The sequence below is a fragment of the Homo sapiens genome, chromosome 15, assembly GCF_000001405.40.
Source record: "Homo sapiens chromosome 15, GRCh38.p14 Primary Assembly".
Taxonomy (NCBI): domain Eukaryota; kingdom Metazoa; phylum Chordata; class Mammalia; order Primates; family Hominidae; genus Homo; species Homo sapiens.
This window is the reverse complement of record NC_000015.10, coordinates 100,044,506-100,069,832: the sequence shown is the minus strand read 5'-3', so window position 1 is coordinate 100,069,832 and position 25,327 is coordinate 100,044,506. Positions and strand designations below refer to the sequence as shown.

Sequence of the window (25,327 nt, the reverse complement as noted above, 5' to 3'; positions counted from 1 at the left end):
GGTGCAGTTTCTTCCTAGCCTTGATGGTCTTTACAATTTGGCTTGTTTTTGCAGTGGCTGTTACCAGTTGTTCCTTTCCATGTTTAGTGCTTCCTTCAGGAGCTCTTGTAGGGCAGGCCTGGTGGTGACAAAATCTCTCAGCATTTGCTTGTCTGTATAGTATTTTATTTCTCCTTCACTTATGAAGCTTAGTTTGGCTGGATATGAAATTCTGGGTTGAAAATTCCTTTCTTTAAGAATGTTGAATATTGGCCCCCACTCTCTTCTGGCTTGTAGAGTTTCTGCCAAGAGATCCACTGTTAGTCTGATGGGCTTCCCTTTGTGGGTAACCTGACCTTTCTCTCTGGCTGCCCTTAACATTTTTTCCTTGATTTCAACTTTGGTGAATCTGACAATTATGTGTCTTGGAGTTACTCTTCTCAAGGAGTATCTTTGTGGATTTCTCTGTATTTCCTGAATTTGAGTGTTGGCCTGCCTTGCTAGATTGGGGAAGTTCTCCTGTATAATATCCTGCAGAGTGTTTTCCAACTTGGCTCCATTCTCCCCGTCACTTTCAGGTACACCAATCAGAAGTAGATTTGGTCTTTTCACATAGTCCCATATTTCTTGGAGGCTTTGTTCATTTCTTTTTATTCTTTTTTCTCTAAACTTCTCTTCTCGCTTCATTTTATTCATTTCATCTTCCATTGCTGATACCCTTTCTTCCAGTTGACCGAATCAGCTACTGAGGCTTCTGCATTCGTCACGTAGTTCTCATGGCTTGGTTTTCAGCTCCCTCAGGTCCTTTAAGGACTTCTCTGCATTGGTTATTCTAGTTAGCCATTCATGTAATCTTTTTTCAAGGTTTTTAACTTCTATGCCATAGGTTTCAACTTCCTCCTTTAGCTCGGAGTAGTTTGATCATCTGAAGCCTTCTTCTCTCAGCTTATCATTCTCTGTCCCTTTGTTCCCTTGCTGGTGAGGAGCTGCGTTCCTTTGGAGGAGGAGAGGTGCTCTGATTTTTAGAGTTTCCAGTTTTTCTGCTCTGTTTTTCCCCATGTTTGTGGTTTTATCTACCTTTGGTCTTTGATGATGGTGACATACAGATGGGGTTTTGGTGTGGATATCCTTTCTGTTTGTTAGTTTTCCTTCTAACAGTCAGGACCCTCAGCTACAGGTCTGTTGGATTTTGCTGGAGGTCCACTCCAGACCCTGTTGGCCTGGGTATCAGCAGCAGAGGCTGCAGAACAACGGATATTGGTGAACAGCAGATGTTGCTGCCTGATCGTTCCTCTGGAAGTTTTGTCTCAGAGGGATACCCAGCTGTGTGAGGTGTCAGTCTGCCCCTACTGGGGGGTGCCTCCCAATTAGGCTACTCAGGGGTCAGGGACCCACTTGAGGAGGCAGTCTCTCTGTTCGCAGATGTCCAGCTGTGTGCTGGGAGAACCACTACTCTCTTCAAGGCTGTCAGAAAGGGACATTTAAGTCTGCAGAGGTTACTGCTGCCTTTTGTTTGGCTATGCCCTGCCCTGAGAGGTGGAGTCTACAGAGGAAGGCAGGCCTCCTTGAGCTGCGGTGGGCTCCACCCAGTTCGAGCTTCCCGGTGGCTTTGTTTACCTACTCAAGCCTGGACAATGGCGGGCGCCCCTCCCCCAGCCTCACTGCCGCCTTGCAGTTTGATCTCAGACTGCTGTGCTAGCAATGAGCGAGGCTCCGTGGGTGTAGGACCCTCCGAGACATGCGCAGGATATAATCTCCTGGCGTGCCGTTTGCTAAGACCGTTGGAAAAGCACAGTATTAGGGTGGGAGTGACCCGATTTTCCAGGTGCCATCTGTCACCCCTTTCTTTGACTAGGAAAGGGAATTCCCTGACCCCTTGCGCTTCCCGGGTGATGGGATGCCTCGCCCTGCTTCAGCTCACGCTCAGTGCACTGCACCCACTGTCCTGCACCCACTTTCCGACACTCCCCAGTGAGATGAACCCGGTACCTCAGTTGGAAATGCAGAAATCACCTGTCTTCTGTGTCACTCACACTGGGAGCTGTAGACTGGAGCTGTTCCTATTCGGCCATCTTGGCTCTTTTTTTTCCAGTTGCATTTTTTGTACAAATTAATAAACGGTTAAAAGATAAAAGGTAGGAAACAATCCAAGGGATTGATCTGATCTGACCTGGGAAGCACAAAGTCATCCAAGCAGGGTAAATAAAAGATAAGTGCTGCAGAAGACAAAAGAGATAAACATATGTACTCTGATGTTCAAAAGAAAACCAAATAGATCAGAAAAAAAAAATGTGTACTAATAATATAGCTTTGTGTCCCAAGAAAGGTTGACACAAAACTATGAGTAGTCTAATAGTTCTTAGACGTTAAAGGTAAAATGTGACTGGAAAAATTTGACAACTGGTATTTCCCTGTTATCCGTGCTTAGAAATGTCATGGTGAAACTGCAGAACACCAAGGAATATTGCTGAGACAGATAGGCTACTTAGAAAGGAACGACACTTAGAATGATGGCTGCCTTCTCAATATCATAAGGGAAGACAGTGGAAAAGTGTATTTCAAGTGTTGAAGGAATATTGCTGAGACAGATGGGCCACTTAGAAAGGAACGACACTTAGAATGATGGCTGCCTTCTCAATATCATAAGGGAAGACAGTGGAAAAGTGTATTTCAAGTGTTGAAGGAATATTGCTGAGACAGATGGGCCACTTAGAAAGGAACGACACTTAGAAGGATGGCTGCCTTCTCAATATCATAAGGGAAGACAGCGGAAAAGTGTATTTCAAGCGTTGAAGGAATACTGCTGAGACAGAAAGGAACGACACTTAGAAGGATGGCTGCCCTCTCAATATCATAAGGGAAGACAGCGGAAAAGTGTATTTCAAGCGTTGAAGGAATATTGCTGAGACAGAAAGGAAGGACACTTAGAAGGATGGCTGCCCTCTCAATATCATAAGGGAAGACAGCGGAAAAGTGTATTTCAAGCGTTGAAGGAATATTGCTGAGACAGAAAGGAAGGACACTTAGAATGATGGCTGCCCTCTCAATATCATAAGGGAAGACAGCGGAAAAGTGTATTTCAAGTGTTGAAGGAATACTGCTGAGACAGATGGGCCACTTAGAAAGGAACGACACGTAGAAGGATGGTTGCCTTCTCTGTATCATAAGGGAAGACAGTGGAAAAATGTATTTCAAGTGTTAAAGGACAATAACAACCAATTTAGAATCAAATGCCCAAGAACACCATTTCTCAAAGCCAAGAGAATGTCAATGAAGACATTTATAGATAAAGCCAGAGAGTTTACAACAACCAAGAGACCTACACTAAAGGACCTTCACATGGATTTAAGGAAGAAAAAAAGATATCAGAAGAATGGTCTGATGTGGGGAAGAAATGGTGAGAAAAAAATGATAAATGTTTATGTAAAACTAAGCAAACACCACATGTATGAAATAATTTAAAAAAAAAAATCTAAGACGTGTATCCATATGCCATCTAAGCCCTGACAAGCGTGATCACAGTTCAACTCTGAGTTCTTGGTATGGTTTGGGAGAAAAACAGTATGATGATTTCAGTAGATGCACAAAAACATTTTATTAACTTTAATACCTCTTCATGATAAAAGCTATTAGCACACTAAGTATTCAAAAAGAGAATGTCCCCACGTGTGTTTATTGCAGCACTGTTTACAATAGCAAAGACTTGGAACCAACCCAAATGCCCATCAATGATAGACTGGATAAAGAAAATGTGGCACATGTACACCATGGAATACTATGCAGCCATAAAAAAGAATGAGTTCATGTCCTTTGCAGTCACATGGATGAAGCTGGAAACCATCATTTTCAGCAAACTAACACAAAAACAGAAAACCAAACACCGCATGTTCTCACTCATAAGTGGGAGTTGAACAATGAGAATTCATGGATACAGAGAGGGGAACATCACATACACCCCCCAGCCTGTTGAGGGGTGGGGGAAAAGGGGAGGGAGAGCATTAGGACAAATACCTAATGCATGCAGGGCTTAAAACCGAGGTGATGGGTTGACGGGTGCAGCAAACCACCATGGCACATGTATACATATGTAACAAACCTGCACATTCAGCACATGTATCCCAGAACTTAAAGTAAAATTTAAACAAGAGAATGTCCCTAACCTGATAGATTAATGATACCTATCCTGTTCTCACAGTAACAATCTTTTTCGGTGGGAAAACTTCGGAAGCACTCCTATGACATCATGAATTACACGAGTATGCCGCAATAGCATTTTGCATACAATGTGGTTTTGTAAATTGCAACCAGAATAGTGAAAGAAGAAACTAAAGGCATAAAGACTAGAAAGGAAGAAACAGAACTGTCATATTAGCAGATGTAGAGTTAGCTACATAGAAACTCAGCCAAAATATAGAAATTATTATAGTTTAAAAATGTAGCTGGCTACAGAACACCTCATATAGCCTATAGATCAATATACTTTTTGCTTGATCCTTTTATAATTTTTGAATTTTGTACCTTATACATACATTACCTAGCAAAACTAATTATTTTGAAGTTGTCACTGATCTTTTAAAAGTACATATAATATTCTTTTCACATAAAATGATATATGTATGTTTATATGCATTAAGAGGTGTTGAAAAGGCTGGTCACCAAAATATTACTTTCTTGGGGTAATTTTCTCATTGTGATGTGGTATAGGTCAATTCTGGTTTTCTGCTGTATGTTGTTTGAACTTTTGTATACTATTTTTATTATAAAAATAAATCCATTTTATTGTGAGAAAATGAATGAATAAATAAACCCCTCAAAATAGGTATTTCCATGATTTCCACATAGTTGAACCTAGAAATCTCTAATTTTTTACAGCTCCGCTCATGATTCTGGTGATCACATTGGGAACAACAGGGCTAGGATTTGTAATCTAAGTTGAGATCCTCATCTGAATCGCAGAAACAAACGCCTAATACGCTTGTCTAAATCCCAAATAAAAATCAAACCAAAATTATTACCAGCCTACGTTTCAGAATCTCACCGTCATGTTAGGCTCACTTACTGGCAATCACCCTATTAACCAGGCATTAGCCAGTTGCCAGCTTCTGCCCTGGCAGCTTCCGTCATGTTTTCCCTGAGTCTTCACTTCCTACCTGCCGTCCTGGCCCCCTACTCTGCTTAAAAACATGCAAGGAAATGGACAAAACTATACAAGTGAAATGGCCAAAGGTGGTGGAAGCAAGAAACGGTGCACCGTGTGTTAAGGCAATACTGTAGTTTCGTCATAGGGTAAATTGCTTGGTTTCTGCTGTCATCCCACGGATGTTCAGGGAAAGTTCAAAATACAACAAAGAGCAAAAGGCCCTCCAGCAGATGAATGAGACCAGGGCCACTATTCACTGATGCACCAGGGAGGTGCCATTCTCGCAGAATACCAGGCTATATTCTTTTGCTATGGTTTCCGTAACAAAGTGCCGCAAACTAGGTGGCATAAGCACCAGAAACTTACTGTCTTTTGGTTCTGGAGTTGAGAAATCTGAGATCAAGGTGTCAGCAGGGTTGGTTCCTTCTGCAGGTCACGAGGGAGGATCTGTTCCATGCTTCTTGCCTAACTTCTGGTGGTTTGCTGGCAGTCTGTGGCGTTCCTTGGCTGCTTTGTAGAAGCATCACTTCATCTCTGCCTTCATGTTCTCGCGACATTCTCCCTATGTGCATGTCTGTTTCCAAACTTCCCCTTTTTATAAGGACATCAGTCATTTTGGATTAGGCCTACCTACTCCAGGATGACCTCATCTTAATATGTCTGCAGTGGTCACATGCTGATGTTCTGGTTGAAGGGGGGGCCCAGTTAGAACTTCAACATACGAATTTGGAGGAGGGGGACACCACTCAACCTGAAACACGTGCAAATCCTGCTCTCTGGAAATGGGGCCACTGGGAGGTCCTGGCCTTAGGAGAGCCTCCTTCTTCTGCGCCAGCCCTCCATTTCTGAAGCCACTGTGGGGGGCTTGGTAGCTAGATTTTGGCCGGGGGATGCTGCACGGCCTCTGGTGCAGGGTGGAGGTGTGGTTTACTTCTGTGTCGTTTGTTGCTACAGGTTATATCGAAGCTGCCGTCATTCCTGCTGGAGCTCGGAGGATCCGTGTGGTGGAGGATAAACCTGCCCACAGCTTTCTGGGTAAAACACAAATGACTTGACTCACCATTTATGTGTTGAGAATCGATTTTGATGATCAGTCTGGTAAATTGGTTCAGTGTCATTCCTCCCGGGTTATGGCTGGTTTCACGCCTGTGTTGTAATGACATGAGCACCCAGAGGGGACCACACAGTGCTGTCATATTTGACTAACATGCAGCCACCCCCATGGTGGATTAGGGGCGGGAACAGGAAGGAAAATGATGGAAGACAAGCTTGGGACAGGAAGGAGGATCATAGAAGAGTGAAGGAAGTTGTGAGGAATTGGGGCAGGTTACCAGTCCCCCAAAGTAACCCCAGGAGAGCTGAGAGCAGCTTGAGTCTGAGCAGTGCAGGCCATTGGCCAACTTGCAGGAAGCCCCATTGGGCTGCCAGTGGCTCTGGGGATGACTTCTTAGCTGGAAAAAGAACAACAATCTTAAGTCTAATGGAAACCCAGAAGGATACCAATTTCACTAAGGTCTGTGTATCCCAAATTCCTAGTGGCCAGCTCCATTGACTTCAAGCACAAACACCTGCATCTTTCCGTAGACTTGGGTTCTATTCTGGACTAGTTTTCCTAACTATGCAGGAGCAAAGCCATTCTGATAAATCCCTTCCTAGCCAGAGAAGACCTTCTGAGGGTATCCTTGGCCCAATTCCCAGACGACCCCAGCAAAGGTCAGCCCAGGACTTGAGCCCCAAGGTGGTTGGAGTTCTCAGTTGGACACAGAAGTGGAGACAGCAGGGTGCCCAGAGGGTGCCTCTGCTCCTACCTTCCTGGCTTGGAACATGCTGTGGCCCCTGCCCTTCTGCCAGCTTTAATCCCATGTTCCTGTCTTGGGTTAAACTTAAACTCAAGGTGGCTGATCTTCCTCAGGCACCCCTCTTCTGAGCTGTTTTCATGTCATCATCTCTCAGCCTGTGTTGCAAAGTGCTGATTGAGACTGAAGAAAGAAAAAGTAAGACATGATTTGTCTAGTTTCAAAAATGATTTTAGCTAAATCGAAGTTACCCATGAAACCCTTTTATTTCCATTTTTATCACTGATTTTTTAAAATGACATCTTTGTCTACATTCCTGCCTTTATAGACTATGCAAAAGTCGGAGTCTTTCTTTGAAATGGTCTCTGCTTGAGAGACTCAAAGTCTAATGAGACAGACACAAAACAAATCTCTAATAGGCAAGTTTACAATGAAGACCACAGTCCTGTTGAAGAGTTAGGAAATGCTTTGACGCTAAGATGCTCCTCGCACACCTGCCTTGGGGAAGGCAGGCATGCCCATTTCCAAGCACCCACGTGGGGTATCACTGGCACCACACTCTGTGGATCCCCCCCTGTCCCAAGCTGCCCTGCCACCTCCTCCTAGCTTGGTCACCTGCCATCCACCCTGCCTCCTTGAGGCTGTGACGGCCGCTCGTGCTTCTGCTGCCAGGGTAAGACCTTGACATCCCTGGAGTTGACATCCATGTGCATTTTCATCAGCCCCATGGTTTTTCACCTCCCCTGCATGGACAGTGTCCCTGCCTCGCCTGGCACTCTCCTCCTCAGCTGTCCCAGCTGTCACTCTGCAAATAGAACAACACTTAAAAATGCATTCTAAAACAAGGCCTCTTGCTGCTTTTGGCAGCTTCAAAGTGACAGCCTCTTTTTACTAAATTCGCAAAGAGCCCACTCCCTCTCCTGCCCATCAAAGGACATTGGGTCAACCTCACCAGCATTTGCATTGGAAGCCCCACCAGCTGGTATCATGCCAAAAAGTTACCCTTCCCCTTCCCAACCCATGCATTTGAATGTACTGGAGGCCCTCCGTGGGATGCTGATGTTACCTTTCATCCTAATTCAAAATTCGCAGTCTGGGTATTCCAAGAGGTACTCAGTTTGGAGGTCGAAGTAGTGGTTCTTCCATCAAGCCCAGAAGGTGTCCCTGCGAGTAAGTCCCTTGGCTTCCGACCCCGGCTTCTGAGATTTCCCAGCATGGCTGCTCCGCCTGGCTCAGCCCTGAGTGTCTGGCGATAGGAGTGTCTTCCTAATCTCCACTTTTGCATGGTAATTTTAGAATGACAGAGGATGTTAGAATCCTTTGGATCACTCCTCAACTTCCCATTCCTGTGGCACAAATGGACCTTTCACTCACATTCACTTTAAGGCCAACAGGTGCTAACTAGCAGGTGCCACCCAGGAGAACCAGCTCTTGTGATCGTCCCTCAGCTCCTGAAGCCTGAGGGCCATGTATACAAAAAAAGAACAATAGCATCCGCGATAGTGGCTCCCAGTCACGGAGCTCGGCTGTGCCTTGGAGAGCCGATCCCTAATCTCCCTAAATGGGCTGCAAGGTCTTGCTCTGCTTCCTTCTTAGAGGGGCAAGCTGAAGCTTCAGGGGGCTTGGTGTCTCATCCAGGGTCTCCACCTCCTCTGATTTCGCTGCCGTTCATGGAGCCTCTCAGAATTACTCTGTCCAATCATGGCCAGAGACTGCCGGATGGAGACTTTTCATTGGAGAACACAAGTTAAACCTGCCTGTTGTTGCCACTACGTTGTATGCACTTCGGAACAAACCTGCATCCCACGGAGATTGGTTTAACGTCTTGGGGTGACTGCTCAGCTCTCCAGAAGCAGTGGGCCTCCGTGGGAGGTTGGAGCCGGCTTCCTGCCTTATCTTACCCAGAAGGCATAATCCCAGGACTCCAGGGCCTGGCTGATGGATTCGGGCAAGCCTGAAGGTGGTCCACACTCATTATGTTTCTAAAGTTAGTTCAAAAAGGCCTTGTCTCCACTCGGGGCTGGGTGCTTTGGAAGTCAACCCAGTGTAACTTTGAATTACTTTGAATTACTCTCACATTTGCTGGGAGCAATTCCTGAAGAATTTCACCCCACCTACCTTCAGCCCACGCTGGCTGGCTTTCTGCTCAAAACCACCTGGAACAGGAAATGCCTGGGCAGTTTGTATCCATAGCTAAGAACAGAGCTGGCAGAACTCCGAGTGGAAATAAAAGGAGCTGACTTGCTGCCAGGTTTAGAAGTAGGTTGACTGTGGGTCAGGTCTTCCAGTGAAGCTAGGACGGAGAGAGACTAAAAGAACCCCACTCGGGCTTCTGTGCAGCTCCATGCCAGAGAGGGGCATGTGGACAGGGTCAGAGCTCGCATCTGCCTCCAGCCAGCTCTGAAAAGGAGCAGTGCCCTTCCCTCAGGAATGCCCCCACCTCGCTCCCTGGAATGGCTCATGGTCTTTCCCACAGTGCCTGGAAGACCAGGATGGTGTGTAAGTGTCCACAGAGAGGAAGAAGGGCCAGAGACCGAAATGGACGTTCTGCATGTAACCTCACACTCCAGCTCATTGCAAAGGTTTTGTTCTGCCCTGGTGGCAAAGGAAAGTGTACCCACCCGTGTGGTGCCCCACAGAAGTCTAACTGTTGAGAGCTTCTGAGCAAAACCCACAAAAGTGAGCATAGTTATGTTTTGGGTAGTGATTTAAGACTTCCAATCTCTGGCCCAGGCGAAATGAGCAAGGGAAAATCTCCCCAGCAAACCAGAGCTTCAGAATTCACAGATAAAATCAAATCACTGGGGGAGTCCCCTGTTCTTCACTCTGTTAATTGCCCATAAAATCAAAGCATTCGTAATCATTTTAATTGCCCCATGGAGTGCTTTCTGGGTCCAACAATATCCTGATTTCAAGTGCACACTAATTAATCTCAAAATACTTAGAGACAAAGGGGGCTTGGAGATACTCACTGATGCCCAAGGTTTGAGGGGACAGGAACTTGTAGAGCCCAAAATGTATTTAATTTGGAAGGTTGTCTTTCAGGAAAAAAAATACATTATGCATAGGGCTGTGGAAAGGACTCCTCCAGAGGTGCCTGGAGCTGCAGCCTCATGGGCCTCATAGGCCTTTGCAGACCCCACTCTGCAGCTAACGCAAGGCAGGAGAGCAACCCAAGCTGCCACAGAAGGGGCCAGGAGGTGACCTGCATTGTCTCTCTGGATTTGACATGGCCCCATGAAGTCATTGTTCTTGGGACTCCACAATGAACCTATTTATTCACTGTTAAAAATGATCTTGACGTCCCAAAGGAATCTCTGAGGCTGACATCTCTTTTGAGGGATGTCAGGCGCGAACTTCTGATTTTAGCAGGAAGTTATGATTTTTCAGATGGACCACGGCAAATTGCAAATTTGGAATCTTGCTAAGTGACACCAAAGTGAAAAGGTTGGAAGTAACCCCTATGCCTCCTGGCTCTGCTGACCTCCTGCTAATAACTCTGCCTGTGTTTTCCTCTCCCCGGGAGATACACAAATGCGTGGCTAGGAGCACGCTGTCCCGAGGAGAGGCGTGCAGGCTCTGAGCTGGAAAGCTGCATTTGCAGTGCGCCAGAACTTGCAGCCACTGCGGCGATGGCCACAGGCAGTGCGTGGGCATGCCAAGTGTATTCTTTCTGGGGCTGTGAGAGCTGACCCCAAACCCACGCCTGGCCTCAAACAAGTTGTGATTGTGCAGGAGTTCTCCAACTCATCGGCTCCAGACCAGGACCTCCAAAGCAAAGACAAGCATCTTCAGAATTCGTTGGAGTGCCCCCACAGCTGTGTGTGGCTTGTGAGAGCCAATTAGAGGCATCTCTTCCCCACTCCTTGTTCACTGATGCCAGGTGGATAGCAAAATCTGTCATGGTGAGGGTATTTACACTTTGGGAAGCAAATACGCCATGACTCTAGGCTATTTTCCCCAGAGAACCGGCTGCCGCTAGCACTCTGTTGTCCAGTATGTTCCTTCCCATCAGCAGTTGAGCTTGCCTGGGTTTGTCCGTCAGCCGCAGCCTCTTTCGCTTTCCTATCCCACAATTCCTTGACCATACCCAGTGACTCCTCCGTGGCCTCCAGTAGCCCTCTTCCTGACACCTCTCCCACCCATTCCGCTACAGACAAGCAAGACCCCGCTCCGGTGATCAGAGGATGGCAGGCTCCAGGGCCCTAGTGGCTCTATCTCCACCTCGTGCTGTAGTTGCTGCTGCTGCTGCCGCCCAGTGTCGGGCCTCCGATGGCAGAAGCAGGGCTTCCCCAGGCCAGCCGCCACCTCTGTGCAGCGTTTCTGAGGATGGTCTTATAACCGTCTCCAGGTGTGCCCTCCTGCCCTTTTTTGGGCCTTTTCACTCTTGACTTCCCAGATGTTTTACTTTTGGCATGGAAGTGGGGTAGTTTGTAGGTTGTCATTCAGAGTCACTTTAAAACATCTTTAAAAAAAGGGCCCGAGGAATACATAAACAAGGCCAGTGGAGAAAGAGTCACCTCCTCAGGAGTGTTAGAGCTGGGATAGGAGGGTTAGAGCCGGGATAGGGGTGTTAGAGCCGGGATAGGGGTGTTAGAGCCGGGATAGGGGTGTTAGAGCCGGGATAGGAGGGTTAGAGCCGGGATAGGGGTGTCAGAGCCGGGATAGGAGGGTCAGAGCTGGGATAGGAGTGTTGGAGCCGGAATAGGGGTGTTGGAGCTGGGATAGGGGTGTTAGAGCCGGGATAGGAGGGTTAGAGCTGGGATAGAGGTGTTAGTGCTGGGATATGGGCAGAGGCCCTGGAGGGAGTTTGAGGCAGGGGTGGAGTGTGCCAGGCCTTCTGCCTCTCAGGGGTACTCAGCTGGGTGGTAAACATCTGGGGCCTATTTATAGGAAGCTGTAATAGTAATTTTCTTTCCTCGCCTGTTCTGCCCTCATCGTGATTAGCTTTTTTTTAACCCAACCTCCAAAAAGCATGTGTGAATGCCAAACCCAGCTCTCAGTTGCTGAGCACCAGCTTCAGGCACTGCTGGATCCAGGGGCTTAAAATGATGTCACAGGAGAAACGGTTTCTCTCCGCACTGGCACTCCTGCCTGTCCTCTCTGTGGACATCTTCCTGTGGGCTGGTAGATCCAGGCTCACATCCAGTCTCTGGGAAACCCTGTGGGAAGAAAGCTGCCTTTTCCTAAGGTGAACAAAAGTCCCCCTGTTTGGGGTTGGGTGATGGGCCTGTGCCTGGAACTGTGGGGTTCAATCCCACGTGACGGGAGGGAAAACATGTTCCCAGGAGAAACCCTGGGTACCATTGCTTAAAGGGAGAAACAGATGCCGTGTCATGGGCACAGTGGGTGTTCACAGAAGCAACAAACCAGGGACGAGCCTGGGGCCCCAGCTCAGGGCAGCCCGTGTTGGAGTCTGTCACTGGCAGGGTGTGGATATGGGACTCAGCCGGTCCGTGCTGGTGGCCCAGCAAGGAGGAGAGCAGCTGCCTGGCTTCCCTCTGGTCTTTGTGAGAGAAATGGGTTCTACGGAGCAGGCCCTGGTGTGGCTGTGGTCAGCACACAGCTTCAAAGAAATCATTTGCTCATCTCTGTCTCCTTTGTACAGGGCACCTCAGCATGCCTGGGTGTCCTCTATCCTCACAGTGAGCCCCTTCCTTCTTCCCACCCTCTGAGGCCACTCTCCCTCTCTTGCCTCCTTTTCCCAGCCAAACCTCTGAAAAGTGGAAAAAACTTTACCTTCCACTTGCTTCTCCATATGGGGTGCTGTGCCTTCCTCCCTCCATCACCCCGCCCAGAACTGATCTTAGCAGTCCTGGCCTCTGAGGATCAGGAATGACCGTCCTGCCTCACACACTGCAGGCAGCCACACACCACTGAGCCACACACTGCGGGTGGCGTTGTCTCCTCTCCCTGTCTTACACGCTCAGCTGAAAGCGGGCTTATCCCAGGAAGCCTTCCCCATCTGCCCCGTCCCACAACATTCCCAGGCCCCGGAGGCACCTTACCATAAAGCTTGTGAAATTGTGTTGTGTTCATCTTTTCTCTCTCTCCCTTCCAAACTGTGAGCTCCCTGGGAGCAAGAGCTGTGTCTGTCTTTAGCCAGCAGTGAGGAGGCCCTCAAAATAGGCTGAGGGAATGGCAGGGTACATCTGCTGTTCCCCCAACTTATGCTTTCTGAGGTGTTTCTTCAAGCAGAAGTCCCCAGACCCCAGGTTGCGGACCAGCAGTAGTCCATGGTCTGTTAGGAACCAGGCTGCACAGCAGCAGGTGAGTGCCCTGCGAGCGAGCATGACCGCCTGAGCTGCGCCTCCTGTCAGATCAGAAGTGGGACATTAGATTCTCATAGGAGCGCAAACCCTATTGTGAATGGCACGTGCAAGGGATCTGGGTTGTGCATGCCTTATGAGAATCTAATGGCTGATGATCTGAGGTGGAAAGTTTCATCCCAAAACCATCCCCCGCCACCCCACTTCCCCCAACCCCCTGGTCTGTGGAAAAATTGCCTTCCACGAAACCAGTCCCTAGTCCCAAAAAGCAGTCCTGGGGACTGCTGTCTTAAAGGACTCTGGCCCCTTGGTTTTTTCTATCTGCTCCTTCCCACCAGCCCACACTGGATCCTAAAACCAAATAGACACATGCATATGCAAGAGACAATTTTCTAAACCTGCAGAAAGCTTGAAAGAATGATGAACGTCCATGCACCCTTTGCCTATATTTGCCTATAGTTAATATAACCAAGTATGTATTTGCATTATTAGCTCACTAGAAGCATTGGAAATCCGTGAAATCAGTCACTGTTGTAAGGGTATATAGAATATGAAACCCTGTAACAGAGCGTAGAATTTGTCCTTTTTGAAAACAGGCCTTACCTTTGCACATTTCAGCATTAGTCATAAAATCTAGACTGATGCTAAAGAAATGGGAATTGAAAGTTGTCAGAGTGATAAGTGCAGTAGGGTTGGTCTGTTGGATTCAGGTCTCCACTCTACAACTGAATAGCTTTGTGATTTTGGGCAAGGTACTTCTCTCTGCCCCCATTGCCTCACCCATGAAGTGATGACAATAATTCAGAGGGTTGTTGAGAAGATTAAATGGGTCAGAGTATATGAAAGAGCCAACCTAGAGAATATGCACCTTAAATGGCAGTTTGCAGATGGTGGCAGAAGAAGAGAAAAAGGAGAGGAAACTGTGGGTGTCCCAACATTCTCACCTCCTTTTCATAGCCAGGACAGTTCAGTTGTGGGTTGGATTTCTTGAAGGGAAACAGATTCGGCTCCAAGTGGCAGGGCTTTCTCTTTCCTAAGCTGTCCCTGGAGTCCTATAATCCTCAGCCTCTCATAGCCACCCTGGATACGAGACCCCACTGGAAGCCACTCTGCTGGAAAGTTCCTAGAAGCGAGGAACCTGTTTCTCTTGGCAGTCCCTCTAACACGAGAAGCCCTGAGCCTGCGTCTGTGTGTTTGCCGGGAGCGAGCAGTGGGACCATAATGTCCTGGAGACAAGAACTGAGGCCAGTGACTACCCAGCGACCCTCTGTTGCTTGTGGCCTGCTCCAGCCTGGGGCTGATGAATTCAGCAGTAACCAAAACCCCTTTTGGGTTTCAACTCTCATTTTCCAAAATCAGTATTAAATGTGGGCATTTTATTTCTGGCCTCAGTAAGCAGAGAACAGTCAATGCAGTAGAATCTGATTTCATTGATATGGACTGAGTAGGGTCCCAATGAGATATATGTAGATCAGTTTGGGGTGTCCTTGGGGCTCCAGTTGTGTGTACAGGGAGTGTGGGCATAGGACTGAGGGTGCCCTGGAGTTCCCATTTTGGGAAATGACAGACTTACTGTCACCTCTTGTCATCTGCCGACTTCTCCTAAAATGCCAGAATAGGTTTTAGTTGTTGGGATTTTTTTTTCCCTAAATAACAGCAGCAACAAAATAGGATGTCACTGCAGAGTGCTGTCCTCATGAGAACCACATGATCTTCACCCCGAAGTGGGAAGACACAAGAAAAATCCTGGTGAGCGACTCAGAAAATAGTAAATACATGGCTTGTGTGGAAAACCAAGTTTCTGCTTATGGCCCGTCAGCAGCATGTTGATTCTCAGCCCCTCCTGGCACAGGCTGTCCCTGGTAGAGATGTGGGTGAGCAAACGTGAGAACCTGAAGCCCACAGAGCTAGGGTGTGAGAGTGCCTCTCCCCTGCTACGCTCAGCCCCCAACCACTGCTCGTCCACAGCTGCCAAGTGTGACCACCACATCTGTGGGTGGCTAGGGTTTCCAAACCTTCATACTTAACAGAGTAATGGTTATTGATTGAAGGGACGTCCACTTTAGTAATGGGGGGATATCAGATCCTTAAGAGGTGCTGGAGATGGGCTCTTCTCCTTCTGGAACCCCAGGTAGGTAATAGGAAAGGGAACTGATGAGTTTTGCTAAAGCAGCAAAACCTGGTTTGTAGCCTGGGACACATTAAAATGGAATGAATTCATCAGGCAGAAAACCATCTGCTGGATAAGTTTAGTGAAATGATATCAGACCATGGTCTTCTCCATTCCCTGCCCCTCCACCCCTAACCCCAGCTATCTGAGTTGGTTTTGAGACAGAAGCCCAGGCTGAAAGGTGCCCATCAATCCCACAGCTCTCCCTGGGGATCCTAGGGGTCTGCATCTCCGTGCTCCCTGCGATCCAGGCTTTTGTTCTCAGTATACAGAGCACTCGCCTTCTCTCGCTTCAGGCCTCCCTCCTTCCCCCTGTGGAAGGGAGACCTCTGCCCCACTCAGGGGCTGTAGATTCCGTTTAAAGACAGGCTGGATCCCCCTACCCCCAGCCCCTTGATTCTTTGGTCTTCAACTTGCTTTCTAGCTCTCAAAGACTCGGGTAAGGGGTCCATCAACAGTGACTGGAAGATAGAGCTCCCCGGAGAGTTCCAGATTGCAGGCACAACTGTTCGCTATGTGAGAAGGGGGCTGTGGGAGAAGATCTCTGCCAAGGGACCAACCAAACTACCGCTGCACTTGATGGTAACTTGCTGGGCTTCCACACTTGTCTTAGGGGGTGTGGCTCCGAGAGGTCTACTAGGTTACTTTCCAGTTTACTTCTGCCTGGGACCTCGGGGGCAGGAAATGCATCTGGCTTCCAGGGGTTTATGCCGTCCCCTGCTGCTCAGTCCTCTCCCCTCTCTGGGTCCTTTCTTTTCCAGTCCCTTGCACAACTTGCTTCAGAATTCTCTCATTGCTTCCCCTGGCTCTTCCCTGGCCGAGCTCCTATCTTTTTCAAAAGGAGCTGCCTCAAAGAAGGAAATGCTTAGCCACGTGGATGGCAGCCAGGGAGACTTGGCCTCATTAAGCAGACAGCCCCACTCCAAGTCTGTTTTTGCATCGGTTGGTGAGATGCATAGATCTGCCTGCACAGAGTGTATATCATTACCTTTCGGAAATGAACTATGACTCCAGGTCCGAACTGGAATCCCTCAGGTTTCACAGACCCAGCTTGCAACGAGCATTTGGGAATCAGGGAGGGGGATCAGATGATGTGGGTATTCTACTCCCCAGGTGACCTCCAGAAACCTGTGAGCCATTGGGCCAGGCCAGGGCGCCGTCTTACCTGTTGTCTCAGGGAGGCCTCCATGCAAGCCACTGAAACATCAGTGATGCCTCCTTTTAAACATGTCAGAGATCTCCAGGGAATGGAGCGCCCTGCTTCCGTCTCAAGATCCAGGAGTTCTCATGGCTAACTTCTGATGGCTCATCATTATCGATTCCGGGTCTCCTTCCAAAAAACAGGATTTGTGGCAGCTTGTGCCCCTGTAATCAAAACACGCTTTGTCCACAGTGCCTGCCAGAGTCTCTCCGTGGAAGTTCTTCTTCCCCGTTAATTTGTGATCTCTGGCAGCCTGTAAGTGTTCCAGGTTAGTTGACACCCAAAAGATTTTCTAGCCATTGCCCAGGGAATCTCCTGAGGAGGCTGGCTCTGCCGGGGAGCGCTGGCCCCCAGGGTGGGCGTTGCCCCGTAGTGGTGTTAACCCCGTTAAAATTTCTGGGGAGACAAAGGTAAGGCAGTTTTCATGTGCAACCAAACCATGTAGAAATCTGCCAGCGCACCTCTCAGCCCGCTAAGTCCACTGCAAATACGTTCCTGCAAGTAGGTTTCTGGGACCCAAGAATGTGTACCTAAGTCATTTATCTGGGATAAGATTGTTCCCTAGTCACAGTCAGAACAAATCCTCCTATTCTGAGTTAAAAGCAGTTATTCAGAGGGACTAAGAGAGGAGGCAAAACATAAAACCTGTACTGAAACTTCACCTGTTAGCATGAGAATTTGCTTTCTCTAGCAAACACCAATGTGAATGTATTTCCCTTTTCACCAAAAGCCTTTGTAAACTGAGCAAGTGGTTAGCCCGTTAAAGTGAAGTCCCCAGCCTGGATTCATTCAGACCAGGATGAACAAAACTCGGAGAAAGCAACTACTACCGTAACTGAAGTTTCAGCCCTCGCTTAATATTGATGGCTTTTCTTTCAAAATGTGATTGTCACTTCAAGATTTTAAAACTGAAAATGAGAGGTGCCCCTTTGCCTCTATATAGAAAGCCATGGTCCCCAAACTGGGGTGTACACATTGTTTGCAGAATCAGTATCACCAGTGAGCTGCATTTTGCCCTTGAGCTTGCCTTACTCCTGACTCTGGACCAACTGACACAGCAGTGATTGATGATGGGGAGTGAAGGAAGATGTTCATTTCCAAAGAAATAGAGTCACCCCAATTGCTCTGATGCCTTTCTAGGTAAAAGTTTATCTGTGTCTTTCCTGTCTGCAAGGGCAGCTTTGTGGGTGAGCATGCAGGAATGTGGACTGTTCTCTGCGTGACGCAGCTCTCCATCAAAAGTGCAGTGAGAGGTTTCAGAGTCACTTATCCTAAAGCTCCTAGTCTAAGCTGGTCTCTCTCTTGGGTAGGAAAGAACAGAACTCCCTCACGATGGTTTGCATTCACCCCACTCCTCAGTTGAGTCCCTGAGGAATCCAGGGCTGAGATAAAGGAGCACCCTCAGTGGAACCTGTTTTCAGCCCCAGAAAAGAGCTGGTTACCCCTCATAAAGAAACAGCCGCAGTGTGCCTGTGTGTGCAGATTCGGCATTCCCACGGGCCTTCCTTCCTTTTCAAAATGGCCTTTTGTTTTGCGGCTGATCCAGGTGTTGTTATTTCACGACCAAGATTATGGAATTCATTATGAATACACTGTTCCTGTAAACCGCACTGCGGAAAATCAAAGCGAACCAGAAAAACCGCAGGACTCTTTGTTCATCTGGACCCACAGCGGCTGGGAAGGGTGCAGTGTGCAGTGCGGCGGAGGTGAGTGGCCGTGGTCCATGACCTGTTGGGTGTGGGGTTTTGCTGAAGGAAGGAGAAAGGCATCTGTGGCCAGCACGCAGAGTGTGAGACATCTGCAACCTGTAGCTCCATGGGAATTTAACCATATCCCACCGAAAATCTCTCTGCAGAATACTTGGACAGAGTCTTCCCAACTCCCACACTAGGGTCATGCCCATACCTCTGCTTTGCCTGGGGCCCAGGGCCCCACAGCTCTGACCTATGGGTGAAGCGGGGTTTGGCTGATGTATGATTACATCTCGGGTGTGACAGGTGGACCCTGGGAATAAACAGAATAGACCTTCAACTGCTGCTGCTTGCTGGAGGGGCACCAGAGCATGTCTCTGCCCGCTCCCAAATTCCCTTCCCTCTTGGCCACAGTCACCTCACTCCAGGATACAATGGAAAGAAAAAGTCCTGCAAGTCGGGTGAAACGTTCTGAGCATGAGTCCTGACTGCACAACTTCCTGCTTGACCTCAGCAAATGACTTCCTCTCTCTACCCCATGTTTCTTCACTTCTGAAATAGGATGGTTGTCTCTCATGCACACTGCAGGGTCCACAGGGTGAGCCAAAGAGCCTGTCGTACAGCAAGAATCAATATGACCAAAAGGCATTGTGTTTATTGTTGTGTCATTGAGAGGGGGCAATAGGAAGCCATTCTGAACTCTGAGCCAGCAGTTTCTTAGTACAGTGCTGTTTGTCACCCTAGCAGGGCACATAGAAGGGTCATGGGAGATGGAACACAGGGTGGGTGGATTTTAGTGGACAAAGAGTTGGGACAGAAGGTTGACCTGGACTCTGGTAGGCCAACCCAGAGAGTTGGATAATGGAGTGGAACCCCGGGCATAGCCCCCGCCATCCCTAGTCCTGAGCACCTATTGACTGCTTGGATAACTTTTGTTAGATGTCCAATATGTAAAGCATTGCTTACCATTTAAGGGATTCATCCCATTTTTCATGGGTAGGAGTTATAGACACACAGGAGTTTCTTCCTGGGCATCTTGGCCAACCACCCTCACTGTCTGTGCTTAGCCTATTCCTGCAACAGCCCTGCGGCAGTTGGCATAGCCTCCGGATACCACCATCAGCCCTGCATCCTCCACTCTGCACCTCTCCCCGGGGGGCCTTCTCCCCCTCAGCCCTTAGCTGCCGCTTGTGCCGATGGCCTTTCAACCTCCAAATCCAGCTGACACATCTACCTCTGATTCCAGCCAGGTTTTCCTCTTGGGCAGCTTGTTACAAACTAAGCATAGCCCACATGGAATAGTCAGGCTCTCCTGGGGTCAGGGGCAGGCTGTTCTGTTGCTGTTGGCTTGGTGGCAATCCTTTTATGACACTGATGACTTCCAGCTTCCTAACACAGTGGTCAGACCTGCCACCAAAGCTGAAAGCAGTTCCGTGCTTTCTGTACTCATGCGAGGCTGCCATGTGGGGCAGCAGCAACTGGCAGTGGAGTTCAGGTCTCCATGATTTCGAGTCATCCCTACATGACAAATTGCCCAGGACACAGACCCAGCAGGGAGCCCAGGATCCAAATAGTTGTGCTTGACTCCCTATTAATCTTTTATTGTCACTCTTCCCAAATAATAATAATGACAGCAATAGAGCTAAGATGAAGTGTTAGCCACCTGCCAGGTTCTGTTCTATGGACACCATATATATTTGTTTATTTTAATCATCACTGAGGCACCCTGAGGCACAGGGAAGTTAAGCAAACCAGGCTGCTTGAGGAAACTGAGACACAGAAGTATGGTGGCCAACTGTTGACACTATGGCCACTGTGATGCTATTTGTGATACAGCCAAGACTTGAACCCAGACAGCCTGGCTCCAAGGGCCACCCTCCTAACTCCCAGTCACTCAGCCTGCCTGACAAAGGCATGGCCGTGCAGTATTTAGGGTGACAAAGGCATGGCCGTGCAGTGTTTAGGGTGCTCTGGGAACACCTATAAGAAGGGCTACATCTATTTGGGATAATGAATTAGCAAAGCTTCCCAAGAGCAGGTGGGGGCTCAGCCATAAGTACCAGCTGGCTGGCTAGACAAGTCAGAATGGCTCTGGAATGCCTGTCTAGAGGATGCAGGTCTGTGTGTCTTCCAGACCAGACTCCTCATCTCCCACTTCTCCCCAGCAAGCAGGAATTCTGTAATAGGTAGCCAGACTCTGCTGAGGGCTGATGTGCAGGTCTTTAATTGAGATCAGATCTCCATAGACTTTAAACATCAAACAAGCAGATAAAAAGATGAGCAATCTTTGGAAATCAAAGGCCCAAATCAACGAACCCCAAGCTGTCCAAGGACACCGCTGATCTGAGGTGTTGCTGCTTTCTTATCTTGTTCTAGAATCTTCCAGGGCCCCACTCTGCCTTCTGTGTCTTGTACTCTCCTCCCTACGATTATAGTTCTTCCTCTCTAAAAACCCACATGACATTTACAGCAGTCACTTTAAATGACCAAGTGACCATCAGCAGCACCCAAACATGCTTTCATGGGCATGCAAGCCCAGCCTTTCCACGTGGGTGCAGCCACAGTCTCTCAGCTCCCTGTGGTTTGGTTTCCAGGGGAGCGCAGAACCATCGTCTCGTGTACACGGATTGTCAACAAGACCACAACTCTGGTGAACGACAGTGACTGCCCTCAAGCAAGCCGCCCAGAGCCCCAGGTCCGAAGGTGCAACTTGCACCCCTGCCAGTCACGGTAAGAAGCTGGGTTCTGTAGCTTGGACCCACCAGAGTCTGGGGCGGCAGCACCATCAGTGGTGGGGAGTGATATGCAGTTAATGCCACAGTACTGCTCTATGCTGTGTTCCGTTATTGTTGATGAGAGATTTCCGCTTGCTCAAATTACCAAATTTCCAGCTACTAAGCCAGGACTCTGATGGAAATACAACCTTCACTGGAAGGCATTGTGTAGGAGACCATTAGTAACATCTCATGGCAAAAAAAAAAAAAAAAAAAAAAAAAATGGCCATCACCACACACTTTTAACCATTGGCTTCCCCAAATTACTTTGTCTTGGTGGAGAAGGAAACAAATATTGGAGTCTGAGTGCCCAGGAGAAAGGTGCACACAGGCTAATGTTGTGGGTGACCTGTTTCAGTGGCTGAAATTCATGCCAGTGAGTGTGGATCTTGGTGTTTATTCTTCGGGATCCATCAGAACTTCTGTCCCAGCCCCAGCTTTCATGGCCGTGTTACCCTTGTGGACTCTCTTGGGTTGTCAGGAGATGAATTGTGTGAAATGCGTTCATCAGCTAAGCCTCCTCTTTTTGAGTCATTTTAGCGGGACTTTAATAATGAATCCATTACGTTGTGGCATGTCACCCTTTGGCCTTCCGTCCTGCTGTGAATTGAGGTGAATGGTTTTTGCTTTGTGGTTCTGTGTATCATTTGAGGCATATTGACCTTTTCTAACTAGGCTAGGTGTTTAGTATTTCCATTTTCTAGGTTTCTTAACTCAATTTGTGCCGCTTGCCTAGTACAAGAGCTTCACAACATATTTGGCTTTTGCACCGACCCCCTTTGTTTTGTCAAACTCTTAAAATGTGTTTGAGTGAGAAAGAGAGGAGACAGGAAGGAAAAAAAGAAGGTGAGGCTTGCTGTGATGATTTTCTGTGCTCCTTGCCAAATTAAGAATGAAATTCCACCCTAATGCTGAAGGCCTGGAGGAAGAGCTCACTGCAGGAAATCTGCTTGAGCACCTCGGTATGAGCAGCTGTACCACGAACCTATCGATCAGTCCATCAGGTCATATTCAGGGGCCACAGAATGGAGGATTTGCCACTGTAAAGACTCAGCAGTCTAACAGGCTACAGCCTCTTCTCTGGAAACTAAAGATGGCCTGGCCCTGGTGAAGTGATTAGAAAATAGGGTAAGAGACGATGGAGGAGGAGAGGTCAGCATGAGCTCAAGGGCATGATTGAGCAAAAAGGTCTTAGGGCTCCATTCGAGAAGCATGTTTTTATTGGGGAACCTGCCCCCAATAGTCACATAGGTTCTTTTCTATTTTCCCTAAGCGTCGGCTGGCTTGAGAAATAAAGGGACAGAGTACAAAAGAGAGAAATTTTAAAGCTGGGCATCCGGGGGAGACATCACATGTCAGCAGGTTCCGTGATGCCCCCAAGCCGTAAAACCAGCAAGTTTTTATTAGGGATTTTCAAAAGGGGAGGGAGTGTGTGAATAGGGTGTGGGTCACAGAGATCACGTACTTCACAAGGTAATAAGATATCACAAGGCAAATGGAGGCAGGGCGAGATCACAGGACCACAGGACCGGGGCGAAAAATTGCTAATGAAGTTTCGGGCACCATTGTCATTGATAACGTCTTATCAGGAGATAGGGTTTGAGAGCAACCAGTCTGACCAAAATTTATTAGGCGGGAATTTCCTCATCCTAATAAGCCTGGGAGCGCTATGGGAGACTGGGGCTCATTTCATGCCTACTGTCTCAACCATAGAAGACGGCCACACCCAGGGGGGCCATTTTAGAGGCCTACCCTCAGGGGCTCATTCTCTTTCTCAGGGATGTTCCTTGCTGAGAAAAAGAATTCAGTGATATTTCCTCCCGTTTGCTTTAGAAAGAAAAGAAATATGGCTCTGTTCTGCCTGGCTCACCGGCAGTCAGAGTTTAAGGTTATCTCTCTTGTTCCCTGAATGTTGCTGTTATCCTGTTCTTTTTTCAAGGTGCCCAGATTTCATATTGTTCAAACACACATGCTCTACAAACAATTTGTGCAGTTAACGCAATCATCACAGGGTCCTGAGGCGATATACAGCCTCCTCAGCTTACAAATTGACAGGATTAAGAGATTAAAGTAAAGACAGGCATAGGAAATCACAAGGGTATTGATTGGGGAAGTGATAAGTGTCCATGAAATCTTCACAATTTATGTTTAGAGATTACAGTAAAGACAGGCATAAGAAATTATAAAAGTATTTATTTGGGGAACTAATAAATGTCCATGAAATCTTCACAATCCACGTTCTTCTGCCATGGCTTCAGCCGGTCCCTCCGTTCGGGGTTCCTGACTTCCCACAACATGTTTTAAAATTAGTTCTGTTTTCAAGCTATTTTATACCCAAGTCTTTTTAAAATTATGCACAGAAACCAGTAAAATGAAACAGATGAAATGAGAACTGCTACCACTGAATTGAGACACACACACGATGTGGCAGAGTGGGCCAGTCTACTCCGCCTTTTCCACCTCTCACAGTACGCCCTGGCTTCTCTGTGGAACTCCAGGGATAAGATTTTAAAATAAAGGATTCTGCTTCCTGTAACGATAGAGTAGCTTATATTGGACCAGCCCTCCTACAGATAACAATTAAGAACTCTGGAGACAGTATAAAAAGCAATTGTTTAAAAGCTAGAAAGCAGCCTAGGTGAGGGGGCACACACCTGTAATCCCAGCACTTTGGGAGGCAAAGGCGGGCAGATCACTTAAGGTCAGGAGTACGAGATCAGCCTGGCCAACATAGTGAAACCCTGTCTGTACTAAAAATACAAAAATTAGCTGGGTGTGGTGGCAGATGCCTGTAGTCTCAGCTACTCAGGAGGCTGAGGCAGGAGAATTGCTTGAACCTGGGAGGTGGAGGTTGCAGTGAGCTGAGATCACACCACTGCACTCCAGCCTTGGTGACAGAGTGAGACTCCATCTCAAAAATTAATTAATTAATTAAATCTAGAAAGCAGTTAGAAACTGAAGAGAAATAGAGAAATGGAGGAATAGAATGGCATGGAATTGAATTACCCATGTTGACAGCTCTTCAACCAAAGGAAGGCCCTAGTTGCATTGAGACTAGCTAAAACTCTGATAGTTACCCGCCATCTTTTACTGGTTAAGCCATCAGAGGAGAATATTCAGGGAAACCCATAGCAGCTGGAAACTGAGAAGGAAAAACTCCAGAAAGGAGGGAGCCACAGAGAGTGACTCCCAAATTCTGCATATATCTCAAGAATCTCTGGGAATTCTTAGAGACTAGGGCCAAATCTAAGAATAAGACAGGCCGGCCAGACTCCACATAGCACAGCTAAAGCTAGAAGACCTGAACTGAGACTGTAGCTGCTGCCCACCACAAGAGAGACAGTGCCTGGAGTTTTATTCCAGCCAAATTAGCTGCCTACTAAAACAAAAATTCAATATTCTTCTAAAATGAAACTCTAGAGCTGCATAGTTCAATATGGTGGTCACTAGCCACTCCAAATTGAAATCTGCTATAAATATAAAATATACATGAGGTTTCAAAGATTTAGTATGAAAAGAGATTATAAGTCTCAATTATTTTATAAAATATTTAAGATTATAAAATATCTTAATTTTTAACGTGATTACTTTGATTATAATCGTCCCAAATGATTATATTTGGGATGCATTAGGACAAACAAAATATATTACTAAAATTAAATTTGAGGTTATTTTAATGTGGCTTCTAAAAAAATCCAAATTAACAGGCTGGGCATGGTGGCTCATACCTGTAATCCCACCACTTTGGGAGGCCAAGGCAGGCAGATCACTGAGGTCAAGATTTCAAGACCAGCCTGGCCAACATGATGAAACCCCATCTCTACTAAAAATACAAAAATTAGCCAGGCATGGTGGCGTGCACCTGTAGTCCCAACTACTCAGGAGGCTGAGGCAGAAGAATTGCTTGAACCTGGGATACAGAGGTTGCAGTGAGCTGAGATCACGCCACTGTACTCCAGCCTGGGTGATTAAGCCAGACTCCGTCTCAAAAAAAAAAAAAAAAAATCCAAATTATATATCCAGTTCTCATCTTCTTTCTGTTGAGCAGTGCTGCTGTTGATTAGTGTATCATTCACAGTGTTCCAGGTACAATCCAAAATTACTAGTCATATAGGGAAACAGATCCATACTCAAAAGAGAAGGCCATTAATGGAGACTGACTGGAAGATGACATGTATGTTGGAATTAGAAGAAAAGAATGTTAAAGCAGCTATTGTAACTATGCTCAGAAACGTAAGAAAAGCTATGCTCATGGTCATGGAACATATAGGAGATCTTAGAAGCAACAAAGATATACTCTACAAAAA

General features: G+C 47.3%; 1 protein-coding gene across 16 annotated transcripts in view; it reads left to right on the top strand.

The window, feature by feature from the left end:
* Positions 1-25,327, top strand: part of ADAMTS17 (ADAM metallopeptidase with thrombospondin type 1 motif 17) — a 370,539-nt gene that overhangs the window by 272,143 nt on the left and 73,069 nt on the right. For 10 of the 16 annotated variants that reach the window (XM_005254872.4, XM_011521312.3, XM_017021975.2 and 7 more), the window contains 4 exons: positions 6,074-6,154; positions 15,779-15,936; positions 18,102-18,261; positions 20,841-20,976. In XM_005254872.4, coding sequence (XP_005254929.1) covers positions 6,074-6,154; positions 15,779-15,936; positions 18,102-18,261; positions 20,841-20,976 — 535 coding nt within the window. Of the gene's footprint in view, positions 1-6,073; positions 15,937-18,101; positions 18,262-20,840; positions 20,977-25,327 lie in introns of those variants that run through there. The other 6 variants (XR_001751118.2, XR_001751120.2, XR_001751119.2 and 3 more) reach the window with 6 other exon arrangements.